We start from the raw sequence: 24038 nt of genomic DNA on the forward strand, positions 1-24038 counted from the left end.
TGGATCACTTGAGATTAGGAGTTTGAAACCAGCCTGGCCAAAAGGTGAAACCCCATCTCTACTAAAAATACAAAAATTAGCCGGCCGTGATGGGGTGTGCCTGTAGTCCCCGCTACTCTGGAGGCTGAGGCGAGAGGATTGCTTGAACCCAGGAGGCAGAGGTTGCAGTGAGCCAAGATTGCACCACTGCAGTCCAGCCTGGGCAACAGAGCAAGACTCCATCTCAATTTTTTAAAATTTAAAAATAAATAAAAAATGAAAAAATCAGAGGAGGTTCTAAATGTTTATGTGGAACTGAGACATTTTAAATGCTTATAAAGAGTTTTTAGTATAAGAGAAAACTGTCCATGTTATATATACTATATGCTAATTCAGAAAACTGGATGCCATAGTATAAATACAAAAAAAGGTGTATTAATCTATACATGTAAGAAACAGCTAGAAGAAAACACACCGAAATACTAACTGTGGTTGTTTGTATAATGCAATTACAGGCAATTCTTGTACTTTCTTTTTTTATTTCTACAAAACATCCACATTTAAGTTAAAGGGCTGAGTGCAGTGGCTCATGTCTGCAATCCCAGCACTTTGGGAGGCTGAGGTGGGAGGATTGCTTGAGCCCAGGTGTTTTAGACCAGCCTGGGCAACACAGAAAGACCCCTTCTACAAAACACACACACACACACACACACACACACACACACACACACACACTTAGCAGGGCATGGTACTAGCTACTCAAGAGGCTGGGGTGGAAGAATCACTTGAGCCCAGAAGGTCAAGGCTGCAGTCAGCTGTGACTATGCTACTGCACTCCAGTTTGGGTGACAAAATAATTTTTTTAAATGAACATAATCTACTTGTCATCAAAAAATATCTTTTAGGAAAACAAACAAAACATCCCACAATTGAAAGCCCACTTTCTCGTCAGCTTTTCTATGTATGAAGAGCTTTTCTTTCTTTCCGTTTGTACTCTGTTTCCCAAAATGACTTGAGTGGCTTATGAGAAAAACATAAACAAGACAGGAAAAATAAAATAAGGACCAAAGAAAGAAAGAAACTGAGCAAAAGAGAGAGAGGGTGAGAACACCCCCAGTCGTACCTCCATGACCCACAGTCTGAGGCCTTATTCAGAGAGAATTTTCTAACTCTTTGACCAAGCGCACTGAGGCAGGGCATTGGATCTGGTGGCCCATCCCTCACATGGGCCACTTTCCAGTGGACAACAAGGAGCCCCCAAAGCTGGCACAGTGGACCCTGCCTCATTTCCTCTGCCCCTATTTTCCCAGGCCCTCATGACTTGCACCCCTCACCTATCACCACCCCACCTCACGGTCCCCTGTCCTGAGCCAGTCCCCAAAGAGTCTTGCTCACTGGTCCCCATCCTGCCTGCTGGGGCCTGGGTCTCTTTCCCACACCCTGAACCTGGTGGCCCACCCAGACCTCAGGCATGGTTGACTCTCTGTTGGGCTTATGCAGAGTGGGTGCCCAGGGGAGGCACTCATGTCTCTGACTGGCCGGTACTGGCTAGCTAAGCATGGTGTGAGGTCAGTGGGTCACACCCAGGGTAGGGCTGAGGTCCATGCCGCCTGCCATGCCCTCCGACAGTGGCTCTTAATGCCTGACTTGCTGATGCCCAGAACAAAGGTTCCTAATTCTTTTAGTTGCCCCCATTTGAGAGTCTGATGAATACCATGGTCCCTGTCCCCATAGACACCACATTTTGCATACCATTTTGGGGAAGGGCAGATTTCTGAAGCCTCTCTGGAGAGCATGGACCTTAAGGTTCGAGACCTCTACTCTAGCAGCTACATCTGCACGTGAGATTGTCCCGCCAGGAGGCACCTACAACTTCCCAAGGCCTGACTGCCACCATGCCCTGCCTCAGAGTGGACAGCAGCCCTGAGAGTGACATAGCCAATAATGTCTTCATGCCACAGTCCTTGCCAAGCAATGGCCAAGACTGTGTGCACAGAGATTGTGCAGGTCACTCCAAGGACACCACAGGGCAACCTCACTTCTGAAAATAATGCTGAGCGACCAGTGACTGAACCCTTCCTACGTGCCAGCCACTGAACAACAAGACCTTACAATGTCATACTTGTACGATGACTAACTGAGGACACTGAGGCTCCGGAACGTGAAAAAGCTTGTCCGAGGGTTACATAGCCAGATCTGCCTGTATTTCACCCACTGCCTCTCCCGGTGGCAGAAGCCAGGCCTCTCTCCAGGAGGTGGGTTCCCAGGCCCTGGCACTGCACCCCCTTACAGCACAGGTTGCCTTTCAGCCCCAGGAAACATGCCCACAGAGATCATGGCATCTCCCCCGGCCCCATTTGTGTAGGGCAGACAGGAGTCCTATCCTGTGGAACACCATGTGCCTACCGGTATGCAACTGGCTGGAGCTTACACAGCTGGGAGGACACAGCCTGTCCTGGACCCCACATCTGAGTGAATTCAGGCCTCCATCTACCACACTGACCCTCTGTAATCCATCCCAAAGTCATTCCCCAGGAATTTCCTTTTTTTTTTTCTTTTCTTTCTTTCCTTTTTTTTCTTAAAGAGGCAGGGTCTCGCTCTATCACCGAGGCTGGAGTGCAGTGGCACTATCGTAGCTCACTGCAACCTCAAACTCCCAGCCTCGAGCAACCCTCCCACCTTGGCCTCCCAAAGCACTGGGATTACAGGCGTGAGCCACCACGTCTAGCCTCCCCAGGGATTTCCAACACTTGTTTTTTGACCTCAGAAGAGTCTCTTTGCCTCTCTGTTGGGCTTTCAATTCCTCTGCTGGTGAAACTGAGTCTTGTGGTCTGGGGTCCTGTCATCTGACATCTTTCAACTCTCGAAGGCCTGGGATGCATGGGGCCTGCAGCTGCTGCGTGTGAATGGATCTGGGTTTGACCTGAACATCTGTTTCTCTATCCACGGAATAAAAATACTTTGGTCCAGTTTGAGCTGTATGCTTTTAGGAAGAACAAAAACAAAAAGGGGGGTGGGGTGGGGTGCGGGTAAGACAGAGAACAAATGACAACAAGACCCAGGCAGGAACAGGCAGAGGGAAAGTCCTTGAAGCTCTGTCTGCAGAAAGGCTTGATCTTTCCACCCGGAATTCGGGTAATTCAGGCTTCTTGTGATGCGGCCAGTGGGCTGTGGCTCTTCAGGGCCCACCATCTGCTCCCAAGGGGTGCTCGTGGGAGCCTACCCTCCTCCCCTTAGCCAAAGGCAGGCAGCGGGGGTCACTAGTGGGACTGAGAACTGCTCCAGCAGGGCTGCTTGGGGTGCCCAGCAGCCGGGCATGGGACCCTTGCCCTGGGTAGGCGGCTGCTAGGGGCTCTGGGTGGCACCTGCGGTGCCCCCGACATCCCCTCCCCCTACGCCGCTGGGGGCTGCTGAAATTAGAAGAGGGAGTCGGGAAGTCATACCCCTCCCTGTGGGCGTCGGGTTGCACTGTTGACTAACTTAGAAAGCGAGATTTCTAAAAATGATGCTGGGGCTGCAGGCTGCGGGCTGCGGGCTGCGGGCTGCGGGCTGCTGCCGCGGCGGGGGCTTCCGGCGGCGCTCTCTTCTGGGTCCCCCACCCCTGGACCAGCGACCGACGACCAGCCAGACAGCCCTTTCCTGCGAATGGACAATGGGAGAGGCTGGCGCAACCGAGAATAGCCAGCGCGGAGGAAGGGCTCCGGACGGAGCTAGGAGGGTGGGGCTCGGAGGGCGCAGGAAGAGCGGCTCTGCGAGGAAAGGGAAAGGAGAGGCCGCTTCTGGGAAGGGACCCGCACGACGACGCCCGAAGGGCGTCGGGGGAAGTGGTAGGCCCCGGAGACTGCGCGAGGCTCCTCAGCAAAGGAAGTGGGCGCGGCGCGCACGCAAGACCTCGCACCCGGCCTCGCGCGCCGCCTCTGGACAGCCCAGCGCCTCTCAGCACCTGTACCTCGCCAGACGCGGCCTCACGGAGACGGGGATCTGCAGCCAATCCGAAACTGCCTGACCCAGGGGGTCCGCGGAAAGGGGAGGAAGGGGAGTGTCCACGGGCCCCATCCTGCCACTTGTCACCCACAAGAGTTCCTTCCCAAGCAGCCCCATCCTCGCCCGGACACTCACTCAGATACTGCCCAGCCCCAGATGGGCTAAGAGGCACAGAGATGGGCAATTAAACACAGCAGGCCTGGCCTCCCTGGGCTGGGGATGGGGTTTTTCTTCTGGGAGCTGCAAAGGGTGAAGCAGTTACAGGTTATCAGGGAGGAGCCCAGTCAAAACTGAACTCAAGGAGGATAGATTTGGGAGAAGTCCCTGCCATGCTTATCCTCCCTCGGCGTGAAGCACAGGGCCCCCTTCCAGGCACAAGGACCCTGAAGATCTCTGGGTGGAGGAAGGCAAGAACAGTGGCAAAATCAGGAATCAGGAACCAGGGTTCGGGCCCTGGTTATGCGAGGACTCACTGTGGGACTGTAAACAAGCCCTTTTCCCTCGGAGCTTTGAAACGCAAATTTTGAGTCAGCGAGACCGGCATGGGCCAGAGACCCAGCCTTCCTAATGAGCTCCCCGGAGATGCCACGCTCCTGCCTGCAGATCGAACTCTCAGTAGCACAGTACGAGATGATTTTTCAGAACCCTTCTAATTCTGAAGTCTTCCCAGCCAGAAGCCCACTCTCAGGCCTCTCAGGACACACTGTCCAAATACACAGTTGGTTTCCAATGGCAGAGGTAAAATCCCAAACCAGCTTCCATAACATGCCCTCCTCCCTTCCCTGACTCTGTGATTGTTGATACAGGATGTGCTCCAGAACCGTGAAACAAGCTCACTACCACAGTTCCATATGTTAATAAAACCTTACTGGCCGATAATGAGAGATTACATGGAAGGGCAGAGAGATGAGGAAACCTTCATGGTCTAATTCATTGGCCTGTTTTAACAACTGAGGAAACTGAAGTGCAGAGCTGAAGCCAACTGTTCAAAAGACACGCAGAGTCAAAAGGGGAACAGTAACCCTAATTGAGAGTACAGTTTGGAGTCCAGATAGTATCAAGTCCCAATCTGTTGGGCTCTCCCATTGAACTGGGTCATAACAATCCTGGTACAACTATTGGTGTTCAATAAAAGTGTTTTGAAATAGAACTGAATCGGCTGTATTGCGTTGGACTGTTTTGAAATTAAACTGAATCGGGCTGTATTGCTTTGTATTGATCACTGCCTGGAGATTTGGAAGAGGAAATAATGATAGGTTTCGAAGAGGCCCCCAAAGAGTCCTGGGCGTGAGCCTGGAGTCTTCCTCGGACCACAGTCTCCTCTCTGGCTTCAGCCCTATTGACTTTGGTCCTGCAAAGAGAGGGTGGAGAGAGGATGTGCACAGGGTTTCCAGCCTAAGACCCCACCCAGAGAGAAAATACACAGAGGGAGGGCTGGGCATTCCAACAGTGGCCAGAAGGGAAATCTGAAGTGGGGCTTGACCTGCCCAGAGGGCCAGGGGAGTCCCGCCCAGCCTGCCTAGAAAGGAGCAGCCTAGAGCCCTGCCTGGCCATGGGGAGAGCCTCCACCCTGTGGGAGGACTGGCTGTTGTGAAACAGTGGGAAGGACCCCCAGGGCTGGGCAACCCAGGGGATGAAAGGCCAGACTGGGGGATGTCAGGGCAGCCTCCCTGGCCTGGGAGGGAAGGGGCTGAAAGTGTCCCATAACAAGAGCAGCTCCTGCCATGCCCTGCGGTCTAGGAGGGCAGTCCCGGGGCTCTTTCTGAGCTAAGGATTCCTCATTTGTGAAAGGAAAGATAAGCCTTTTCTTCATGAAGAATGGTTTCTAATAACCAAGAAATTGTTCCATCTGCTAACACGGGCTCTATTTTAAATGCTTAATGAACCTTTTCTCATAATGGCCTTGGGGTCAGTAAGCTGAGATGAGATTTTTGCCTAGAGAGGCCTACAGCGGAAAGAGCTGTCAAATGCCCAAGAATGTGAAAAGAATCTGACTTGAGGAGACACTAGGTTCTCACCTGGGCCCCAGGAAACAAGAGGCATCTTGGGGTGAGAACAGTGCTGTCTACTTCCGCTGCATACCACTCATTCCAAGTGCTTTACCGTATTAACTCATTGAAGCCTCACAACTACCCTATGAGGTAGATGGATTTTTTTCAGGGAAGGAAACTGAGGCACAGAGAGGCAACTGGGATTCAAACGTTGTGCTGCCACTGCTGCAGCAGTGCTTGTCCAAGGCTGCAGGGAGTCTTGGATGAGTGCCAGGAGCTCCAGCTGCTCCAGCTGGGACCCTGCAGAGGGGTCCAGAGGGACCTGGCCCCAGCCCAGCCCACAGAGCCCCCACTAGCCTACCCTAGAAAGGAGCCCTGAGAAAGGAAAATCTGGCCTCCTTATCTCCTGGGGGAAAGGAATGCACTCTCCCTCCTGCCAGGATAACGGGCTGTTTTAACGGGAAGTCTCCACCCTGGCTGTGGGTTCCTCCCAGCCACCACTTATTCCTTCTGGCTGTCTCTGCCTCTGGCATCCCACTTCCCATGCTTCAACTCCTGACCCCTGACACCCCCAAAATAATCCTAACTCAACTCATGGCCCCCTCAAATCAGCTGCCCCTGCACAGCTCCAAGCTGGTCAAGAAGTCTTCCCTGCCCCACTGTTGCTTGGATATCCTCGCCAGGCAGGCAGCTGAGACGGGGTGGGAGGTCAAGTGACCCCTGCAGGGAAGGGGCAGTCAGTATCAACACACCGATATGTAAGCAGAGCCCCCCTCCTGCCAAGCACCAGGCTGAAAATATTCACATGCTCAGACCCCTTCCCCACCAAGTTCTGAGGCCATGGGCAGCTCTCCCCCACCCCAAGTCCTACCCAAGAAACAAAGCAGGGCCTCCCTCAGAATGCCATGGCTAAAGATTCAGTATCATAGAACTGTAGAAAGTTAGCATCACAGCAGTCTTTAGCCTCAAATCCATTTTACAGATGGGAAAGCTGAGGCCTGAGAAAGGAGATGCCCACGTCACAAAGTTAGCAGCTGCTCAGGGGAGACCAGAACACAGTGTGGCCAAGCCCTTGTCCAATATGTCCTATGGGTCCCCATCTCTCTGCTGTTACTGGCTGGCTACTTGCCTGTTTTTTCCACTAGACTATGAGCCAGGTGGGGGCAGGCACCACGCTCTCTTATTTTCTGGGGTGTCTCTGGCACCTAGCCCCAGGGGACATGCAAAAAATATAAAACATTAATAATAACAAACAATGGAAACAACCCAAATGTCCATCCACAGATGAATGGATAAACAAAATGTGGTATATCGATACAATGGAATGTTATTCCACCATAAAAAGGAATGAATTTCTGATACATGCTACAACACAGATGAACTTTGAAGACCTCATGCTAAGTGAAAGAAGCCAGATGCAAAAGGACAAATGTTGTATAATTCCCCTTACAGTAGCTCCCCTTTATCCACAGGGCATCCTTTCCAAAACCCTCAGTGGAGGCCTGAAATGGCAGATAATACCAAACCCTATATATACTATGTTTTTTCCTATATATACATACCTGTGATCAAGTTTAACTTATAAATTAGGCTCAGTAAGAGACTAGCAACAATGACATAATAAAATACAATTATATTATAATAAAAGTTTTATGAATGTGGTCTCTCTCCCTCATCTCAAAATATCTTTTTTATTCTTTTCTTTCTTTCTTTTTTGAGACTGGGTCTTGCTCTGTCACCCCATCTGGAGTGCAGTGGCACGATCACGGCTCACTGCAGCCTCCACCTCCCACGGCTCAAGTGATCCTCCCACTTCAGCCTCCTGACTAGCTGAGACAACAGGCTGGCGCCACCATGCTCAGCTAATTTTTTATATTTTTTGTAGAGACAGGGTCTCACTTTGTTGCCCAGGCTGGTCTCAAGCCCCTGAGCAGAAGCAATTCTCCCACCTCAGCCTCCCAAAGTGCTGAGATTATAGGCATGAGCCACTGCGCCTGGCCCAAAATACCTTATTGTACTATACTATTTTTATCTATTTTTGGACCACTGTTGACCGTGGATAGCTGCAACTGCAGAAAACAAAACTGTAGATAAGGGGAACTACTGCCTATGAAATATCTAGAATAGGCAAATTCAGAGAGGCAGAAAGTATCATAGAACAGAAGTTAGTGGGGGCGGAGTTTCTGTTTGGGGTGATGACAAAGTTTTGGACGCAAATGGTTAGGATAATTGCACAACAGTGTGAATGTAACTAATGCCACCGAATTGTACAGTTAAAAACGGTTAAAATGGCAAAGTGTGTGCTATGGATATTTTACCACAATAAAAAACAAAACAAAACAAACAAACAAACAATCAAACAAAACCTCAAGCCATTTCTTTCCACAGCACCCTCCCCAGGGATCCTCAGAGATGGCACCCTGCATCCTTGCTTAAGGCCTGGGCTCCTCCCTGCCGTACAGATGTGGGAATAGAGGACAAAGGGGGCTTCCTGGCCAAGGATGGTGGAAGGTGAGGACAGAGCCACAGGCCCTGCCTACTAGTTGTGGCCTCCCTCGGAGTGCAGCGGCATGATCACGGCTCACTGCAGCCTCCACCTCCCATGGCTCAAGTGATCCTCCCACTTCAGCCTCCCGACTAGCTGGGACTACAGGCTGACGCCACCATGCCCAGCTAAGTTTGTACATTTTTTGTAGAGACAAGGTCTCTGTTTGTTGCCACAGGGAACACCTCTTCCCACCACAGGGAGGCCCTTCCTCCACGAGAAGCAGGGCGGGGAAGCTGCCCAGCAAGCCATCTGACCACCAGTCACCAATGTAGGCAGAAATCACTGTGTGCTCAGGGGTTTAGGTGGAAAGGACCGTTGTGCTCGGGAGTTTGCCGACGTCTGGAATCCTTGGGGTTTTACTCAAGGGCAAGGTGTGTGAGAATTTGCAGCAAAGCCGTCAAGAAACACAAAGTGCAGCGTCTCAATATCAAGCACGCCCAACTTCCAGGGAAGACTTCCGCAAAATCAAGGGCGCTGTTGTCCTAGTCCTAGGGTCAACACATGTTCTCATTTTCAAAACTTTCCTGGTCACTGGGACCCAAGGCCTGGGAGCAGCATTTAACCTGCGGTGCCACTAAATGAGAGCCGGCCTTGAGTGAGTGTGCCTTTAACCCGGGCTGCCCTGGGCTACTGCCATATCACCTGACCTTGCAGCTTCAGGCTGCACTCCGCTTCCCTTTGTGGGGCTGGCAGGGGCACTCTGCTCTCAGCCTTCTAGCTCTGAGAGGAGAAAACCAGAAGTGGCCCCTTCCTGTGCCTCTGTGTGTTCCTTTGCAAGCCGTTGTGTGCCTTTTCTGCAGGCGCTTATGGAGAGTGAGGTGTGTTTGTACCATCTCCCCGTCAGATTAGGAATCCTCAAGGTCAGAGACAAGTTCCCTCCTCCCTCCGGATCCCCTCCTCATCCGCAGGTGGCTGCAGTCACTGGGGTGCTGGATGAGTCCAGTGACCATACATCCTGCCCTACATCCTGCCTGGACAGCCTGGGAAGTGTTTTGATGACTGATCAACCCAGAGAGCACGAGGGGAGAGCAAGAGGAGGAGAAAGGATGCTGCTGCTCCTGACTGAACGTGATTGAGGTGCCCCAGGAAACTACCTTGCTATGCAAAGTATGGTCCCCAACCTGCGGCATTGGAACCTTCATTTTAACAAGATCCCCAGATCCTGAAGCACTGCCTTAGAGTATAACCCAGGGCCTCCAGGGACCTACTCTTCCAGGACAAGCAATGATAATGACAATGATTATTTATTGAGCACCTACTTTGTGCCAGGCATGACACTAGGCCTCTTATAAACATTATCTTATTTTATGCTTTGGCAACCTAGCGAGGCAGGCGTTATTACCTGCTTTTCAGAAACAAAGAGAGCAGGTCAGAGAGGTTAACTACCTTGACCAATTCTATGCAGCAAATTATAGCTGAGCTGGAGCTTGAACCTGGAGGTCTGACTCCAAAGCCATGTCTCTGACAACTGTAGTATATGTGATGCAATCTTTCACATTAGGCCAACAAGGACAGCCACTTGCCAACTCGCTATGGGGCCCAGAGATTTAAAGGCAAATGCAATCCCCAGGGAGATGTCTAGAGGCTGCCCCATTGCCTAGTGCTGGCCTGGGGTGTGGGCACCTATGTGTTGGGGTTAGGTCAACCCTGTGGCAGAGGCCTCAATATTTCTTCAAAACACGTCCCTGAAGATGAAGGTGCATGCCTCAGTCCCCAGGGAGCATGAAGATCCAGGCAAGAGGGACATGTAAGTTGGATTGCGAGCAGGCCTGGAAGCTCTAGCACTGGCCTTGTCTGGGCCCTGGAGTGAGGGTAGTGGGGAGAAGAGTGGGGTGGGGGGCCCACGTGGGTCCTTTGTATATTATTTAACTTTCAAATTTGCAATTTGGGGCATCATCTCCTGCCAGCCTCAGGAGGCGGCACTCTCCTGCCAGCTCCACCTCTGGGTTCACTCCCACCCCCAACCCTCGGCCAGCACTCACAGGCTGCTCGCACCACAGAGCCCACTCTCTGCATGCCCACTGTCAGCCCAGGACTTCCTGCCTTGTTCTCTGGGTCTGTAGCTGGCTGCCTTGCTCCCCACCCAAATGTGAGTGACTTGAGGGCACATATCCCACTTTGTGCTTTATACAGACCCACCATCCTGCCTCCTACCCCAGGAGGTACCCCCAAAATGGTGAAGCCAGAAGTGCCTTCAGGGACGCTTCTACAGTCACATGGAGAGTAATCTGCAAATTCCCCACAGCCAGGGGACACCTGCCACGTGCAGTGAGAGGAACACAAACCAGCAGCGGGGGGGCACAGGCAGGATGTGTCGGCCCACCCCTCAGCGGTCACCCATCGCTTCCTCGGAACTCCCAGCTGCTCAGGGCTGAGGCGGGCGAGGCTCAGAAGTGTGGAAGGGCCCTCCCCAGCTGGTGACTGCATGTGGCAGGCATCCATACCCGGAACGCCCAGCCAGGGAGTCGGGCCAGCCCATCCCTCCTGCTCACAGAGTCACAGAGTGGGAGCAGACTCGGGGGTCGAAGCTGGGCAGCGCTCGCTCGCACTTCCTTCTGCAAACTTGACCAGGTCCCACGGCCTCTTCAGCCCATGGCTCCTTTCTCTGATCCCCAAGCCAAAGCCAGCAAATGAGAATAATCCAGTAGAGACAGCTGGGTTTTGGGATCAGGGTAGGGGCTCAGAGCCAGGGGTCTGGGATTCTGGTCAGTCAGTTTTTCTTCATCAGAATCAATCTCAGAACAAGAGGGAGGCCTAAGGCATGCCTGCTGCTGGCCAGGGGTGATGGGGACCACTGCCCACAGAAAGCCTTCTAACAAGGGCTGGATCCAAACAATCAAGGAACAAGGATGCCTAAAGCATTAGTTTCTCATCTAGCCAGAGAAATATTAAATGTGCAACTCACATAATTTTACAAACAAGAACCACCAACATAAAATAAGTGGAATATTGAAAATATTCAACAGGTAGAACAAGTCAAAGAACATGCTTTGCTTCCTATTCAGGCCAGGAAGGGAGAGAAAGAGAAGAAATGGAAGGTGAGGAGGGATGGGGAGATGGCAAAGTGGGGGCAGAGGGGAAAAAGAGAGACAAAAGGATTGGGGAGAAAAAACAGAGAGAGAAAAGCATAAAGGAAGAAAGGATGAGGCACAAAGAAAAGAGGAGGGAGAGCAGGTGGATTTTGGGGAATGCTGGACAATTGGTCAGGCTTGGTCTGCAGAGGCTCAGAAATCCTTACCTGGACATGAGCCTTTGTTTATAATTCTTCACTGTTCTAACCCTGAAAAGTACCTCTGTTCTAATCCTTAATCTTTCCCCCTTCAGGTCAAGAATGCCTTTGAGAATCTGGCAGTAGTTCTGAACCCTGTCCTAGAAAAATACACTTATTTACATACAATTTTGCATGCAACTTCAGGGGCTCAAGGACTCTATGTTAAAAATACTTATTCTAGAAGCTCCACTCTGATTGGGAGACCCATAATGGCCAAAGCAAAAACACCTCAATTGCCAGATGAAACTAAAATGAGGGTGGGATGTGTTGTATTCAAGTCTTCACATTGAGCTTTAATCATACCATTGGCTTCAGTGACAGAATTTAGGGCCTAAGCACCTTCTCCTGGTTACTACCCCAACAGTCATATTGGAAGCAAGGCTGGTTACTCCAAGGGGTCCATTGTGTACATGGATGGTTATTTCGCAGTAAGGGGCCTGTCAAAGACAGGTAACAATGTGTGAGTCAAATTAACCCTTTACAGATCAATAGGATTAGTAAATCCCATATACGTAGTAGTTTCCAAATCTGAATGTACATAAGAATTTCCAGTATGCTTACCTAAAATGTAGATTACTAGTCCAAAATTTGAGAGTATGGATCAGACTGTTTTTCTAATGAGTTTCTAGATAATTCCGATACAGGAAATCTCCAAACCAAACGCTGAGACACACTGTTCTCAGAGAACATTGCAAGCCTGAGAGGCTGAGCTTCTGGTCCCACAGGTCAGCTGATTATCTACTCCTTGCAGTGCGATTCTTGTACACTAGGGGGTAGGACTGAGCACATATACAAGGGCACCGCAAGACGAGGTTTGGACTACTGCATCAAAAAGGCTACCTTTACAGGGGAAAATAGAATGAGCAATGCAGAACATGAAAGGTAGAGTGCCAGGAGAAACCTTCCAAGGGCCTCGAAGACAGTAGTTCCCAGAGCTGACTTAAAAATCATGATAAAAAACTACCTGGAGCACTTCTTACAATCCAGATTCCCGGGCCTCAGGCTATTAGGAAACGCGCTCACACACACACACCAAGTTTCCTCAGGGATTCTGATACACACGCAAGTATCACAACTTGTTTGTTTATGGCACTTCAAGCCCAAGGGTATTTTGATCACTATACCAGACCATTATCATAAAGACGCTTCGAAAAACTAAAGTGCCCTTATAATTCTAAAGCAAAAAACAGTGAACATTACCAGGGTTTTCTTCTTCTTTTCTCTTCCTCTTCCTCCCCCTCTTTCTTTTTCATTGAGGAGGCTAATTGGAGAAGGTGGGCCACGCTGGAATGCCCTGAATGGGTTCCAGATGGTGAAGTCATTGGCCTCTTGGCCCAACTGTTCCTCCCTTTTCCCTGGAGTGCTGTACAAATATTATCATTTTCTGGCTGTGCAGTGACATAAAAATGGTTGAGAGGCTCTAGGTCAGGTGTAAAAGAAACTCATGGAAAGGGAAGAACAGCTCGGTCCAAAAGAAATTGTGGAGATACTTTCCGATTCTCTGCAAGGTGGAGAATCCCAAATCAGATGCCAAGCTCAGCGTGGATTGGTTTGGGCTCATCATGTTGTCCAGTCCCCACTGGCTTTGGCATCTGATCTGGGATTGTGAGGGGGTGCGGTAGGTCTCAAGAGAAATGCTGAAGGGGCAGCCCTGCTTCCGGCTGCTTAGCAGAGTGGTGGCGACAGGGAAACCCAGGCACAGATTGCAGATCCTCCGCCCAGGGAGGATGACCACGATAACAAGACTGTCTTACGTTTATTTAGAATCTTCCTTTGCCAAGGCAATCGTATTTATAGTAGTTGCTCATTTTGAGTATAACTTTTTAAAAACATTTTGATTTTCTGAAATTTGGATGTCTTACAAGCAACATGAGGACTTAATGTAAGGCTTTTTTCCACCTGAAAATTTGGTGTGAATTAAAATTGATGGTGACTTGGAATTGAGGAAATACGTTTTATTACATCATTTAATCTCTAAATAATCTGTGAGGCAGATATTATTATTCTCTATTTTCTAGAGGAGGAAACTGACGCTTAGGTGATTTCCCCAAGGTCAAGGATTGAGAAAGTGGCAGAGCCAGGACTAAAATCCAGGTTCCAGTATTTCTTCCCTGATAATGTCTGAGCAGATTTGTTCATACACTAGGAATTTGGGATTGCAGAGTAATTGCTCCAGAACTGCTCCAAAAACTGGCTGCCACCCACAGTTACTGGGGCAGAGAAAGCAAGAAGTGACTTTCCTTTTGCTTCAAGTAGAAATTTGAGGGAAAAGAAATAGAAATGTATATAGGTTTGTATGGTGGCTGTTTGTTTGCTTTAGGCCATAACAGAAGTCCCTTGATTACTTCAGGAGCTTCAGAATGTACCATGCTCATTCCTCATACCACGATCACCTCTGGTACGTGTGAGTTTAAAATGGTGCTCATTCGGTCATTACAGATTTACTGTTTGAATTTGTTATTTTATTTACTTTAGAATGCTTTTCATTTTTAGCAATCAGGATTCTAGAGTGTCATATCTTTAAAAGTCTAGCATTTTTATTTCTGCCAGTTCAAGAGGATGCAGGAAGAAGTTTAACAGAAGAAACCGTCTTCAAAATAATAAAACCCCAAAATTATTCTCTACAATATCCAGTAAGTGCTGATTTTCTAGAAAACAGTTGGCAGGGGGAGAGAGAGAAGGAACCACCCCTCCCCCCAAACTCAAAGAAAAAATAACTACTTTGGACATATTATTTCTAATCCTTTAAAAAACACTCTTCCAGGAGGGTATTTCTTTCCATTAGACAGATGGACAAACTCAAAGGGTTTCGGTGACTTGCCCACAGCCACACGGCTAACAAGAAGCATGTGTTCTGATAGCATTAATCAGAAAAGCATATATTGCTGACATGGATTCCCTGTTTCATGAGGGCAGGGACCATCGCTATCCTATTCTCCGCTGTATCCCAAAGCCTACCTCCTGGCACCCCGTAGGCTTTGATGACTACCTATAGGGTGGGAGGATGGGAGGAAGAAAGAAAGGGAGGCGGAACAGGTGTGTGTGCAGCCAGGCGCTCCGTCCACCCTGCCACTCCTCTTCTTTGGAGACAGTGCTCTGACAATCTGTTCCATCAACTCCATTCTCCTGCAACTCTCATCACACTTTCACAAGCTGCGCAGATTACGTTTCCTAGGACTGTGTCCATCCATCTGCCTCACTGGATGCTGATCCACTCTGGTGTGTTTCCCAGTCAGTCACTCAGCAAAGTGCAACCGAGAGCCAACCATGTGCCCGGTACTTTCCAAGATGCCAGGATAAAACGGCAATAATATGGGATTCCTGTGCTTGAGGTTTTTACAGCCTGAAAAACAATGACCTCTGCATTTCCTACTCAGCACCGCGTGCCATCAACATCCAAGGTATGGGGATTTTCTGTAGCTGCCTATCAAACTCTCTCAGCTACCACCAGTGCTTCTTTCTGCTATATCTGATGCCTTGTTTTGTTACTTTCAGAAACACCAAAGGATGGCCGCAATTGAGGGACTCTTCTCAATAGCATGTTCTTGTGCTTCTTCATTTAGGACACATCTCCCATGCTGGGAAGTACAAGACAAATACGAGGAGTTGGGCAAGTGTCGCACTAAGTTCTGCCCCTGGCTGGGCAGCCCACTGACTTCTAAGAGATAATGAAATTTATGTATTTATTTATTTATTTATATATTTTTTGAGATGGAGTCTCACTGTCTCATCCAGGCTGGAGTGCAGTGGTGTGACCTTGGCTCACTGCAACCTCCACCTCCCAGGTTCAAGCGATTCTCCTGCCTCACCAGGAGAATCTTGTGATGCTGTAAGATGATAAAATGCCTATGTGACGAGACAATGTGGGGCGGATGACGCAGGCATCGTGACATAGCACTTGGCTATTATTGGCCTTGAGCTCTGGACTAGCTGGGGTTACAGGCGCGTGACACCACACCCAGCTAATTTTTGTATTTTTAGTAGAGACAGGGTTTTACCATGTTGGCCAGGCTGGTCTCGAACTCCTGACCTCAGGTGACCCACCCACCTTGGCCTCCCAAAGTGCTGGGACTGCAGGCATGAGTCACCATGCCCGGCCAGATGATGAATTTTAAAATCAAGTTTTATTATGGGGAAACTGAAGACCCACAGATATTGGGGTGCTGGCCTAGGGTCCCACAGACAGTGGTAGAGAGAATGCTGGCTTCAAGTCTCCCAGTGCAAAATACTTTAACTACCGTCCCCTTTCACTTCACTAGTCAGCAGCTTCGCAAACTGCATTTTCAATGCCATGCCCTACATGGGACTTATGTGTCCTGCTTGTTTTCTAATTCAGTCAGTGAAGAGCAGGCGGCCCCAGCAGCTGGAAACAATGTGAGCTTGATGGTTAAGGACATGGACCCTGAGGTCAGAAGCCAGGGCTCAAATTCTGGCTCCATTGCTTACCAGCTGGATAACTGCTGGGCAATCTAACCTCTCTGAACATCAGTTATCTCATCTTTATCATGGGGACAATAACACACAGGGACTCCATAGATAGGATATAGTGAGATGTATAATGCTTAGTATAGCACCTGGCACAAACAGAATGCTCAATAAACATTAGCTATTACAGTATCCCCCCTCCCTTATCCATTAGGGGTACATCCCATGACCCCCAGGGGATGCCTGAAACCAAGGATAGTACCTAACCCTATATACACCACGTTTTTTCCTATATATGCATACCTATGGTAAAGTTTAATTTATAAATTAGGCACAAGAAGATATCAACCACAATAATTAATAATAAAATAGAACAACTCTAACAATATACTATAATAAAAGTTATGTGAACGTCTCTCTCTCAAAATAGCTTACCATGCTGTATGCACCCTTCTTCTTGTGATGATGTAAGATGATAAAACGCCTACGTGACGAGAAGTGAGGCGGATGATGCAGGCATCGTGACATAGCACTTGGCTATTATTGGCCTCGAGCTCAAGCCCTCTGCTACTTGACAGTTGACCTGATAACCAAGCCAGGTACTAAGTGACTGATGGCAGGCGGTGTGTACGGTGTGGCCACACTGGACAAAGCAGGGTTCATGTCCCGGGTGAGACGGTGCAAGATTTCATCATGCTACTCAGAATGGCGGGCAATTTAAAACGTATGAACTGTTTGTTTCTGGTATTTTCCATTTAGTATTTTCGGACTGTGGTTGACTACGGGAAATGGAAACCATGGAAAGTGAAACCGTGGGTGGCGGGGTGGAAGCTACTGTGTTACTTCCCTTGCTCACCGCACCACCTTCAAATCTTAAATTCAAGAAATGTACAGCAATGTGAATTGACCCAGGACTTTTTTCTCATCTTAATAAATTATTCCACCTTACTTTCTTCTCTGCTTACAAGCAGAAATATACTCAGTGTTTCAAAAAGTATTAATTTCGGCGAGGCTGTTTGGTAAAGAATGTCTGATAAGGACACTGTGAGATTCTGATGCAGGAATTGATGTAGACATCTGACATAATTTTCTGATGGCTTATTAGAAATAAGTTTGAGCCGGGCGCGGTGGCTCACGCCTGTAATCCCAGCACTTTGGAAGGCTGAGGCGGGTGGATCACAAGGTCAGGAGATCGAGACCATCCTGGCTAACACGGTGAAACCCTGTCTCTACTAAAAATACAAAAAAGTAGCTGTAGTCCCAGCTACTCGGGAGGCTGAGACAGGAGGATGGCATGAACCTGGGAGGCGGAGCTTGCAGTGAGCCAAGATCACGCCACTGCACTCCAGCCTGGGTGACACAGCGAGACTCTGTCTCAAAAAAAAAAAAAAAAAAAGAAGGAAGTTTGAAAGGACTAAGAGCAGGGTAACAGTTGATGAACCACTTTTCTTAATCATTATTGCTTACTCTTGCCAAAAAAAAAAAAAAAACCCAACTTCGTAACTCCAATTATTTTTAATTTTTCAGAAAAGTGGCACATATTCTCAGAGAAGCAAGGGAAATTTCCCTTCACATCCCTAGACCGTATGCTCAGGGTGAAAGAGACTATTGTTTGGGTCACAGACTTGTGAGCCAGACGTGATTTTCACATGCAAATGGTGGCCACATACAGAGATAATCCAGGCCCCGGGCCAGGCAGAGACCCCAGCCGGCTGCCTCATCATGCTCTCACGGGGCATGTGGCTGAGCTGTAGTGCTGTGATGAGGGAGTGTGCCATCCAATGGGAGAGGCCATGTGTGGAAAAGGACTAAAAATACAAAGCACGCTAGAAACCGTGCAAATGAATTTAGTTCAGAGTGAGAAGGCATTTCGTCACTGAATCATGGATGGGGCTGGCCAAGGTTCACCAGAGGAAGTGAAGTGTTTGAGTTCATGTGCCAGACATGGTGCCGGCTGCTTCGTCTCCAGTATCTCAGGGCCAGGCCATCAGTGTGTGTGATCATGCATGGGTCTATGTGTGCACCCACTCATGTAGCCAGTGGCGCGAGAAAAGTAAATACTTATGGCAGGATCTTGGACCCTTTTAAATGTTTTCATCATTGTTTTGGATTATAAACTAACGAGACAAAAAATCAATCAAAGTTCTCATTGGTTAAAATAATTTTGTTTGTGTTTAACAAGTATGTGGATGTTCCCGATGGCGGTGGTGGACCAAAGATGGGATGAGAGGTGGGATGAGAAGGGCGGGAATGGAAACAATTAAGAGGCATGTACAAACAAATCAAGAAAATGAGATCACGAAACTGTCTCCCAAACTGCATCTGGTCTTCATCTCTACCCCACCTCGACTGCATCAGTCCAGGCTGTGTCTTCTCTAGACTGGACAATTGCAACCACGTTTGAAGGGCCCCAGCCTCAGTCCCTCCCCATTTGTGCCTACCCTAACTCCAGGCAGGGCTCCAAAGAGCAAATCTGATTCAACCCCTTCCCTGCTTCAAAGAAAAGCCTATTGACCTTTTGCTCAGCTTTTATGATTTCCGTATCTTTAAAACGCATGTTGAATTTTAAACTTATTTCTGGTTATTTTGTTTGTTTGTTTGCTTGCTTTTCTAACTAGAGAGACTAAGAAAATTCTCAAGATATGTCATCAAGCCTCTGTTTATAGTACATTCCATCTGGGACTTCTGAATGTTGCTACATTAGTTTTAACTTCAAAAATATTATATACTATGTGAGCTCAATTATGCTTTAAAACGAAAAAGGATGAAAAAAAGGCTATAAGGAAATAGCTTTTAGATATATTTTTAAATTAAATATGTATAGTTCTTAATAAAAATAAGTTAAAATTATAATTTAGTAGGTACTATCTACTCACATATATGAATACAAATATGCAAGGCAAGAATACTGGAAGGAAATACACTAATTATAAATACAGATGCTCCTTGACTTTCAGTGGGGCCATGTTCCGATAAACCTGTCATAAGTGAAAAATAACGGCTGTGATCTGAACAGAGACAAGCTACTGTTCTGCTTTTCACCAAGACCTGTGATACAAGCCAATCCTGGAAGCCCTAGAAGCTGAAAGTTCCCTGAGCTTCCCTCTGCCTCCTCGCTTTGAAGCACCATCACCTCAGGGAACTGGGAAGAACTCTCTCTTGAACCTGAAAAGGCTCTGTACCCTTCTGGCCCTCTGTCCCCAAACCCTGTCCCAGCACACTCAGCTCCAGCACACCTACCTTCCTGCACTTTCTGAACTCTTCCATGCGCGCTGAGTCTTCACATATGCTGTTCCTGTTCCTTGGGATCACCATCCCCAGTTTACTACCAGGTGAACACTTGTGTGACCTCTGGGGTACACTCGCATCACCCTCTCCTTGAAGACATCTCAGAAACCCCAAGGTCAAGGTTCTTCCACTCTCCTCCACCTGCAACTTGCATATTTTCCTTTAAAATACTGACCCAGGAAATGGTGATTGTTTGGTTAGGGGAGAGCCTGTGCCTTATTCTTGTGTGTATCCTCAATTTCTAGCTTTGGTTCTGCACATAGTGGGACTCAGGAAAAGTTTTTCAGTGAACTGATTAGAGTGGAGGAGAGAGGGAGATCTAGGTGGGGAGGAGACAAAGAAATACAGAGATGAAGAGGCACATGAGCCAAGGAAGGATGGCGGAAATGAAGGAATCAGGGACCGAATGTTAGCAAGACACAACTTGACAACTCACTGTGGAAAATCTTTTCAGGAATAAATACATTTTCTTGTTTCAATCTAAGGTTTCATTTCTAAGTAGGCCATTTCTCTGCTTATATTTGTTCCTAGTAAGCCCCAATGTCAAATTAGCTTTTCCTTTTTTTTTTTCTTTTTTGAGACAGAGTCTCGCTCTGTCACCCAGGCTGCAGTGCAGTGGCGCGATCTTGGCTCATTACAGCTCCTGCCTCCCAGGTTCAAGCAATTCTCCTGCCTCAGCCTCCCGAGTAGCTGGAATTACAGGCATGTGCCACCACGCCCAGCTAATTTTTGTATTTTTAGTAGAGACGGGGTTTCACCATGTTGCCCAGGATGGTCTCCAACTCCTGACCTCAAGTGATCTGCCCACCTCGGCCTCCCAAAGTGCTGGGATTATAGGTGTGAGCCACAGTGCCTGGGCCCCCAGTGGGCTTTTCTAATTATAAGTGTATCCAACTATTATAAGATCCTCTTTAGACAACTTAAGCTTTTTCTTTAGATATTGTTCCCACATATTTCAAGCATGAAATCACTATTTTCCCTGGAGTGATACCTAAAAACTTGCTTCTCTGCTGTTTGCAAATCCTCAAAAGTCAGGGAGGAAGGCTCTTACAGTCACTTTGGAAGGGTGTCACCATGCAAATTCACAGTTTCTGACTGCTGTGATTAAGTATCAGCCCATAAGGTAACACCTACTGAAGATAACAAGTAGTCTCAAATATTTATGATGACACTAAGTCAGAAATCATATTGCAGCAACCCACCAAGAGAAAATACCTTCTTCATATCTCTTCCATGATACCATCCCAAATGGCTTCAAAAAGACTCAGAAATCTGTTTACAAAGCACTATTCAGATTTCCACAAATGGTCCCTAGAATCAGGGGTAGAATTCACAGTGATCACAGTCCTGAATCTAGGACTGTAAAGTTTGCCAGAGCAAGACAGACAATGATCTCTCACAAAGAGATATACGAATACACCTTTCTAAATGAAAAATGATACTTTTTGGAGAGGAAATAATAAAATTCTCTAATTAAAAATTTTTTAAGTATGGTTAGTTTGTCATTGAAAAATATTAATACCAGACTTATCAGTTAAGATGGCAGACTGAATACATGTACCTAATTTCGTTCCCTCCCCACATCCTGCTAATATATATCAAAGAACTTTTTTTTTTAGAGGTGGGGTCTCACTATGTTGCCCAGGCTAGTCTCAAACCCCTGGACTCAAGCAATCCTCCCCCCTTGGTCTCCCAAAGTGCTGGGATTAGAGGCAAGAGCCACCGCACCCATTAAAGAGATTTTTAAAAGGATATAAATCCATAAGAATGGGGAAAACAGTAGAACACAGCAACAAAATTTCAGAAGTTAAAAAGTAGATAGTCCAGTGGTACAGATATCAGTCCCAAGAAAATGGAATGTCAAGTCAGCAGAGAGAAAATCTGAGAACCAATCTGATTTAGCCCTCCAAATGCTCAGAGGTCTCAGGAGCTGGCAGCACCAGGTATTTCTGGACATGGGTGTGAGAGATGGAGGCCTTGGCCTCCCAAAGTGCTGGGATTACAGGCGTGAGCCACCAGCCCCCAGGCAGTGTTCTGGTTTGACCCACTCCTGAGACCTAGAGGTAGGCAATGAGGAGCTTAGAGGAAAAATACAGAGCAGCTCGCTCTCCCAAGCACTCCCTCTGGTCATCTAGAACCCCAGGCCTATGACGGCCCCTCCAGCTGCCCAGACACATGCCCTTTTCTGGGACTCAGATTTGACTCTATGAACAGAAAGTAGGTACATAAATAACCAAAAGTCTAAGAGTGACTGCTGTGGAGATGCAACTGGAAAGAAGCAATGGTACTGGTAATATTCTTTCTTTCTTTTTTAGGGTCAGGGTTCTCGCTCTGTCGCCCAGGCTGGAGTGCTCACTGTGACCTCGAACTCTTGGGCTCAAGTGATTCCTCCTGCCTCAGCCTTCTGAGTACCTGAGACAACAGGTGTGCACCACCATGTCCAGCTAATTTTTAAAATGTTTTCTAGAGATGAAGTCTCACTGTATTGCCTAGGCTGGTCTCGAACTCCTGGGCTCAAGTGATCCTCCTACCTCAGCCTCCCAAAGTGCTGGGATTACAGGGGTGAGCCACCGCACCCAGTGCGACTTGGTTCTCAAATCTACCTATGGTAGGTGAGGTACTCACCTCTCACCACCTCTGTTTCCCCACTGTAAAATGGGAATAATAGTATCTACTTCTTTTGTAAGAGTTAAATGAATTAATACATATAAAGTACAAAAAATCAGTGCCCGGCATATAGTAATGCTCAATAAAGGTTAGCTACCACTGTCCTCACTATTACAGATAAGCAGCATCTGACTACACATGATAACTATCTGCAAGTGAAGTTCTTTCCATCCAAAGGTCCACAAGTCCTGACCCTTGCTGAGGGGGTCCTTCTCCTCATGGCTTCCTGGTGTCCACAGCCTTTGCCATCTCTCAATCAGCCACTGGTTGCAAATGCGAGTTTAGATGAAGCGGGTGACGCTTATAACACCTTAAGTCTTTTCACACTCAGGATTAAGACATGGATCCCTAAAAGTGGCAAACTTAGCCTGCTGGTGGGCTGTCAAACAGCATAGCTGCCTCCTCCACCAGCCAGTGCCATAAGGGGCCTCTTTGCAAGAGAATCGATACACAGATGTGAGTGAGGACTCATCATAAACACAGGTGGTCACATGGGACTCGGAGGGAGCTGCACGGGGGCACAGGGCACAGCCAGAGCACTGGCTGGGGAGCTGGGAGAACTGGGTTCCAACAGTGGCTATGTGTGACCCAGCGAAGGTCACTCATCCAGATTCCACATGCCCGGGTTCCGGGACTCTTAAGTGGTTTGTTGGTTTGCCTTTAAATACCATGTAATTAATGCAGGGAGAGAGGGAGGTCAGTCACAGGGCAGTGAGTCTACTGAAAAACACAGTCTATCATCCCAAACTGACTTCAGAGCCAGTGCTGACCTGCTTGGGCTTCCCATCCTCTTGTCTCGGCAGGGCTCATAACAATGTTATCATTTTTTAAAACATATGCCTAAGCTAGTTCCTATTCTAGACAATTGGCAGGTGCCCAGTTAATAGATTATTCCACCAGACAGTTGAATGCATTGGCCATTGATCAAAAATGAGGTCACTGCAATCCTATGTGCTAGAACTGGAAAAGCCTGATGAGAAACAACTGTATCTTTCTTAACAAATAGAAATCCATATTCCTATTTCCCTAAATTTGTCTTGCCTGGCGTGTAGCTCAGAAGCAAAGGAGGATTTTGTTTAAGGTCAAGTCGGTCTTGCTTTCTGGCCCCATATGTTTGGTTTTGTGACTGTTCATGAGTGTTTCACATCAGCAAATCCCCAACTGGATTCCAACTGACCTGCAGGAATATCTGGCCAACACTGCCAGATCCCTGGTCTTTCTCTCAAACCTGCACAGTCGGAAAGAACAGGTCAAGAGACTCTTCGTCCCAGCTATCTGGATCCTTGTTTAAATTTTACTCACTTACATCTGTGCTGTGGACACAGGTAATATGAAGCACATGTACTTTTCTCAAAAAAAAAAAAAAAAATCTAAGGAACACAGAGCTGTTGTATCAGAGGCTGCAACGTCTTCCCAGCACGTGGGCATTCGCAGACAAAGCTATCCCTGCTGACCTGCTGTGGGAAAGACATGCACTCTGATTTCACCACTGACCCGGCCGCACTCTTTTGTCCAGTATATAACGCCTCCCTAAGCATCTCCTTTCCTTGCAAACAAAAAAACCCTGGAGGAAAACTTTCAAAGCCACAGTTTCTTCTCAGTTGCAACCCTTCCTTCCTTCCTTCTTCCCAAGAAGGTCTGACTGGGCTTGCAAGCTGGCCCCACCCTGGGCTGGGCCTCCACACAGGCATTGTGCGATCCTCTGCCATTCTGTGTAGACGGAATACCTGCGAACTGCTGCCAACACAGGAAGGTTGGCGCCTCTCTGGAGGGAGGCCTGGGGAGTATCCATCGCCCAGGCGACTGCAGATAAGCAGCTAAGGGGCTAGGGTTCTCCACACCTCCATGTGGGTTCCAGAGCCTTTCTCTTGTACTTCTTTTACTG

The 24038-nt window shown here is 48.0% G+C and overlaps 1 protein-coding gene and 1 non-coding gene across 3 annotated transcripts in view, besides 12 other annotated features; both read right to left on the reverse strand.

Annotated features, from left to right (window-relative positions):
- The window catches only part of SLC12A8 (solute carrier family 12 member 8), a 130105-nt gene that overhangs the window by 55532 nt on the left and 50535 nt on the right, over positions 1 to 24038 (reverse strand). The gene's annotated exons all lie outside the window — the stretch shown is intronic.
- Positions 3406 to 3635: a silencer, noted in NCBI's record as "silent region_14661". NCBI's record gives its function as "represses an Ori minimal core promoter by ATAC-STARR-seq in GM12878 lymphoblastoid cells {active_cell/tissue: GM12878}" and the evidence as "EXISTENCE:reporter gene assay evidence [ECO:0000049][PMID:35858748]".
- Positions 3649 to 4472: an enhancer, noted in NCBI's record as "H3K4me1 hESC enhancer chr3:124860668-124861491 (GRCh37/hg19 assembly coordinates)". NCBI's record gives its function as "activates a minimal SCP1, AML or CMV promoter by ChIP-STARR-seq in naive H9 embryonic stem cells {active_cell/tissue: H9 hESC(naive)}" and the evidence as "EXISTENCE:reporter gene assay evidence [ECO:0000049][PMID:30033119]".
- Positions 4086 to 4175: an enhancer, noted in NCBI's record as "active region_20419". NCBI's record gives its function as "activates an Ori minimal core promoter by ATAC-STARR-seq in GM12878 lymphoblastoid cells {active_cell/tissue: GM12878}" and the evidence as "EXISTENCE:reporter gene assay evidence [ECO:0000049][PMID:35858748]".
- Positions 4186 to 4415: an enhancer, noted in NCBI's record as "active region_20420". NCBI's record gives its function as "activates an Ori minimal core promoter by ATAC-STARR-seq in GM12878 lymphoblastoid cells {active_cell/tissue: GM12878}" and the evidence as "EXISTENCE:reporter gene assay evidence [ECO:0000049][PMID:35858748]".
- Positions 4986 to 5939: an enhancer, noted in NCBI's record as "H3K27ac-H3K4me1 hESC enhancer chr3:124862005-124862958 (GRCh37/hg19 assembly coordinates)". NCBI's record gives its function as "activates a minimal SCP1, AML or CMV promoter by ChIP-STARR-seq in primed H9 embryonic stem cells {active_cell/tissue: H9 hESC(primed)}" and the evidence as "EXISTENCE:reporter gene assay evidence [ECO:0000049][PMID:30033119]".
- Positions 8996 to 9065: an enhancer, noted in NCBI's record as "active region_20421". NCBI's record gives its function as "activates an Ori minimal core promoter by ATAC-STARR-seq in GM12878 lymphoblastoid cells {active_cell/tissue: GM12878}" and the evidence as "EXISTENCE:reporter gene assay evidence [ECO:0000049][PMID:35858748]".
- Positions 9476 to 9535: an enhancer, noted in NCBI's record as "active region_20422". NCBI's record gives its function as "activates an Ori minimal core promoter by ATAC-STARR-seq in GM12878 lymphoblastoid cells {active_cell/tissue: GM12878}" and the evidence as "EXISTENCE:reporter gene assay evidence [ECO:0000049][PMID:35858748]".
- Positions 10666 to 10755: an enhancer, noted in NCBI's record as "active region_20423". NCBI's record gives its function as "activates an Ori minimal core promoter by ATAC-STARR-seq in GM12878 lymphoblastoid cells {active_cell/tissue: GM12878}" and the evidence as "EXISTENCE:reporter gene assay evidence [ECO:0000049][PMID:35858748]".
- Positions 10866 to 11055: an enhancer, noted in NCBI's record as "active region_20424". NCBI's record gives its function as "activates an Ori minimal core promoter by ATAC-STARR-seq in GM12878 lymphoblastoid cells {active_cell/tissue: GM12878}" and the evidence as "EXISTENCE:reporter gene assay evidence [ECO:0000049][PMID:35858748]".
- Positions 11076 to 11145: an enhancer, noted in NCBI's record as "active region_20425". NCBI's record gives its function as "activates an Ori minimal core promoter by ATAC-STARR-seq in GM12878 lymphoblastoid cells {active_cell/tissue: GM12878}" and the evidence as "EXISTENCE:reporter gene assay evidence [ECO:0000049][PMID:35858748]".
- MIR5092 (microRNA 5092) lies at positions 13290 to 13377 on the reverse strand. The gene has a single exon (NR_049815.1). It is a non-coding gene; the product is annotated as a microRNA 5092 (primary transcript).
- Positions 15968 to 16469: an enhancer, noted in NCBI's record as "NANOG hESC enhancer chr3:124872987-124873488 (GRCh37/hg19 assembly coordinates)". NCBI's record gives its function as "activates a minimal SCP1, AML or CMV promoter by ChIP-STARR-seq in naive H9 embryonic stem cells {active_cell/tissue: H9 hESC(naive)}" and the evidence as "EXISTENCE:reporter gene assay evidence [ECO:0000049][PMID:30033119]".
- Positions 16705 to 16754: a silencer, noted in NCBI's record as "silent region_14662". NCBI's record gives its function as "represses an Ori minimal core promoter by ATAC-STARR-seq in GM12878 lymphoblastoid cells {active_cell/tissue: GM12878}" and the evidence as "EXISTENCE:reporter gene assay evidence [ECO:0000049][PMID:35858748]".

Source organism: Homo sapiens, chromosome 3, assembly GCF_000001405.40.
Source record: "Homo sapiens chromosome 3, GRCh38.p14 Primary Assembly".
Lineage (NCBI taxonomy): Eukaryota > Metazoa > Chordata > Mammalia > Primates > Hominidae > Homo > Homo sapiens.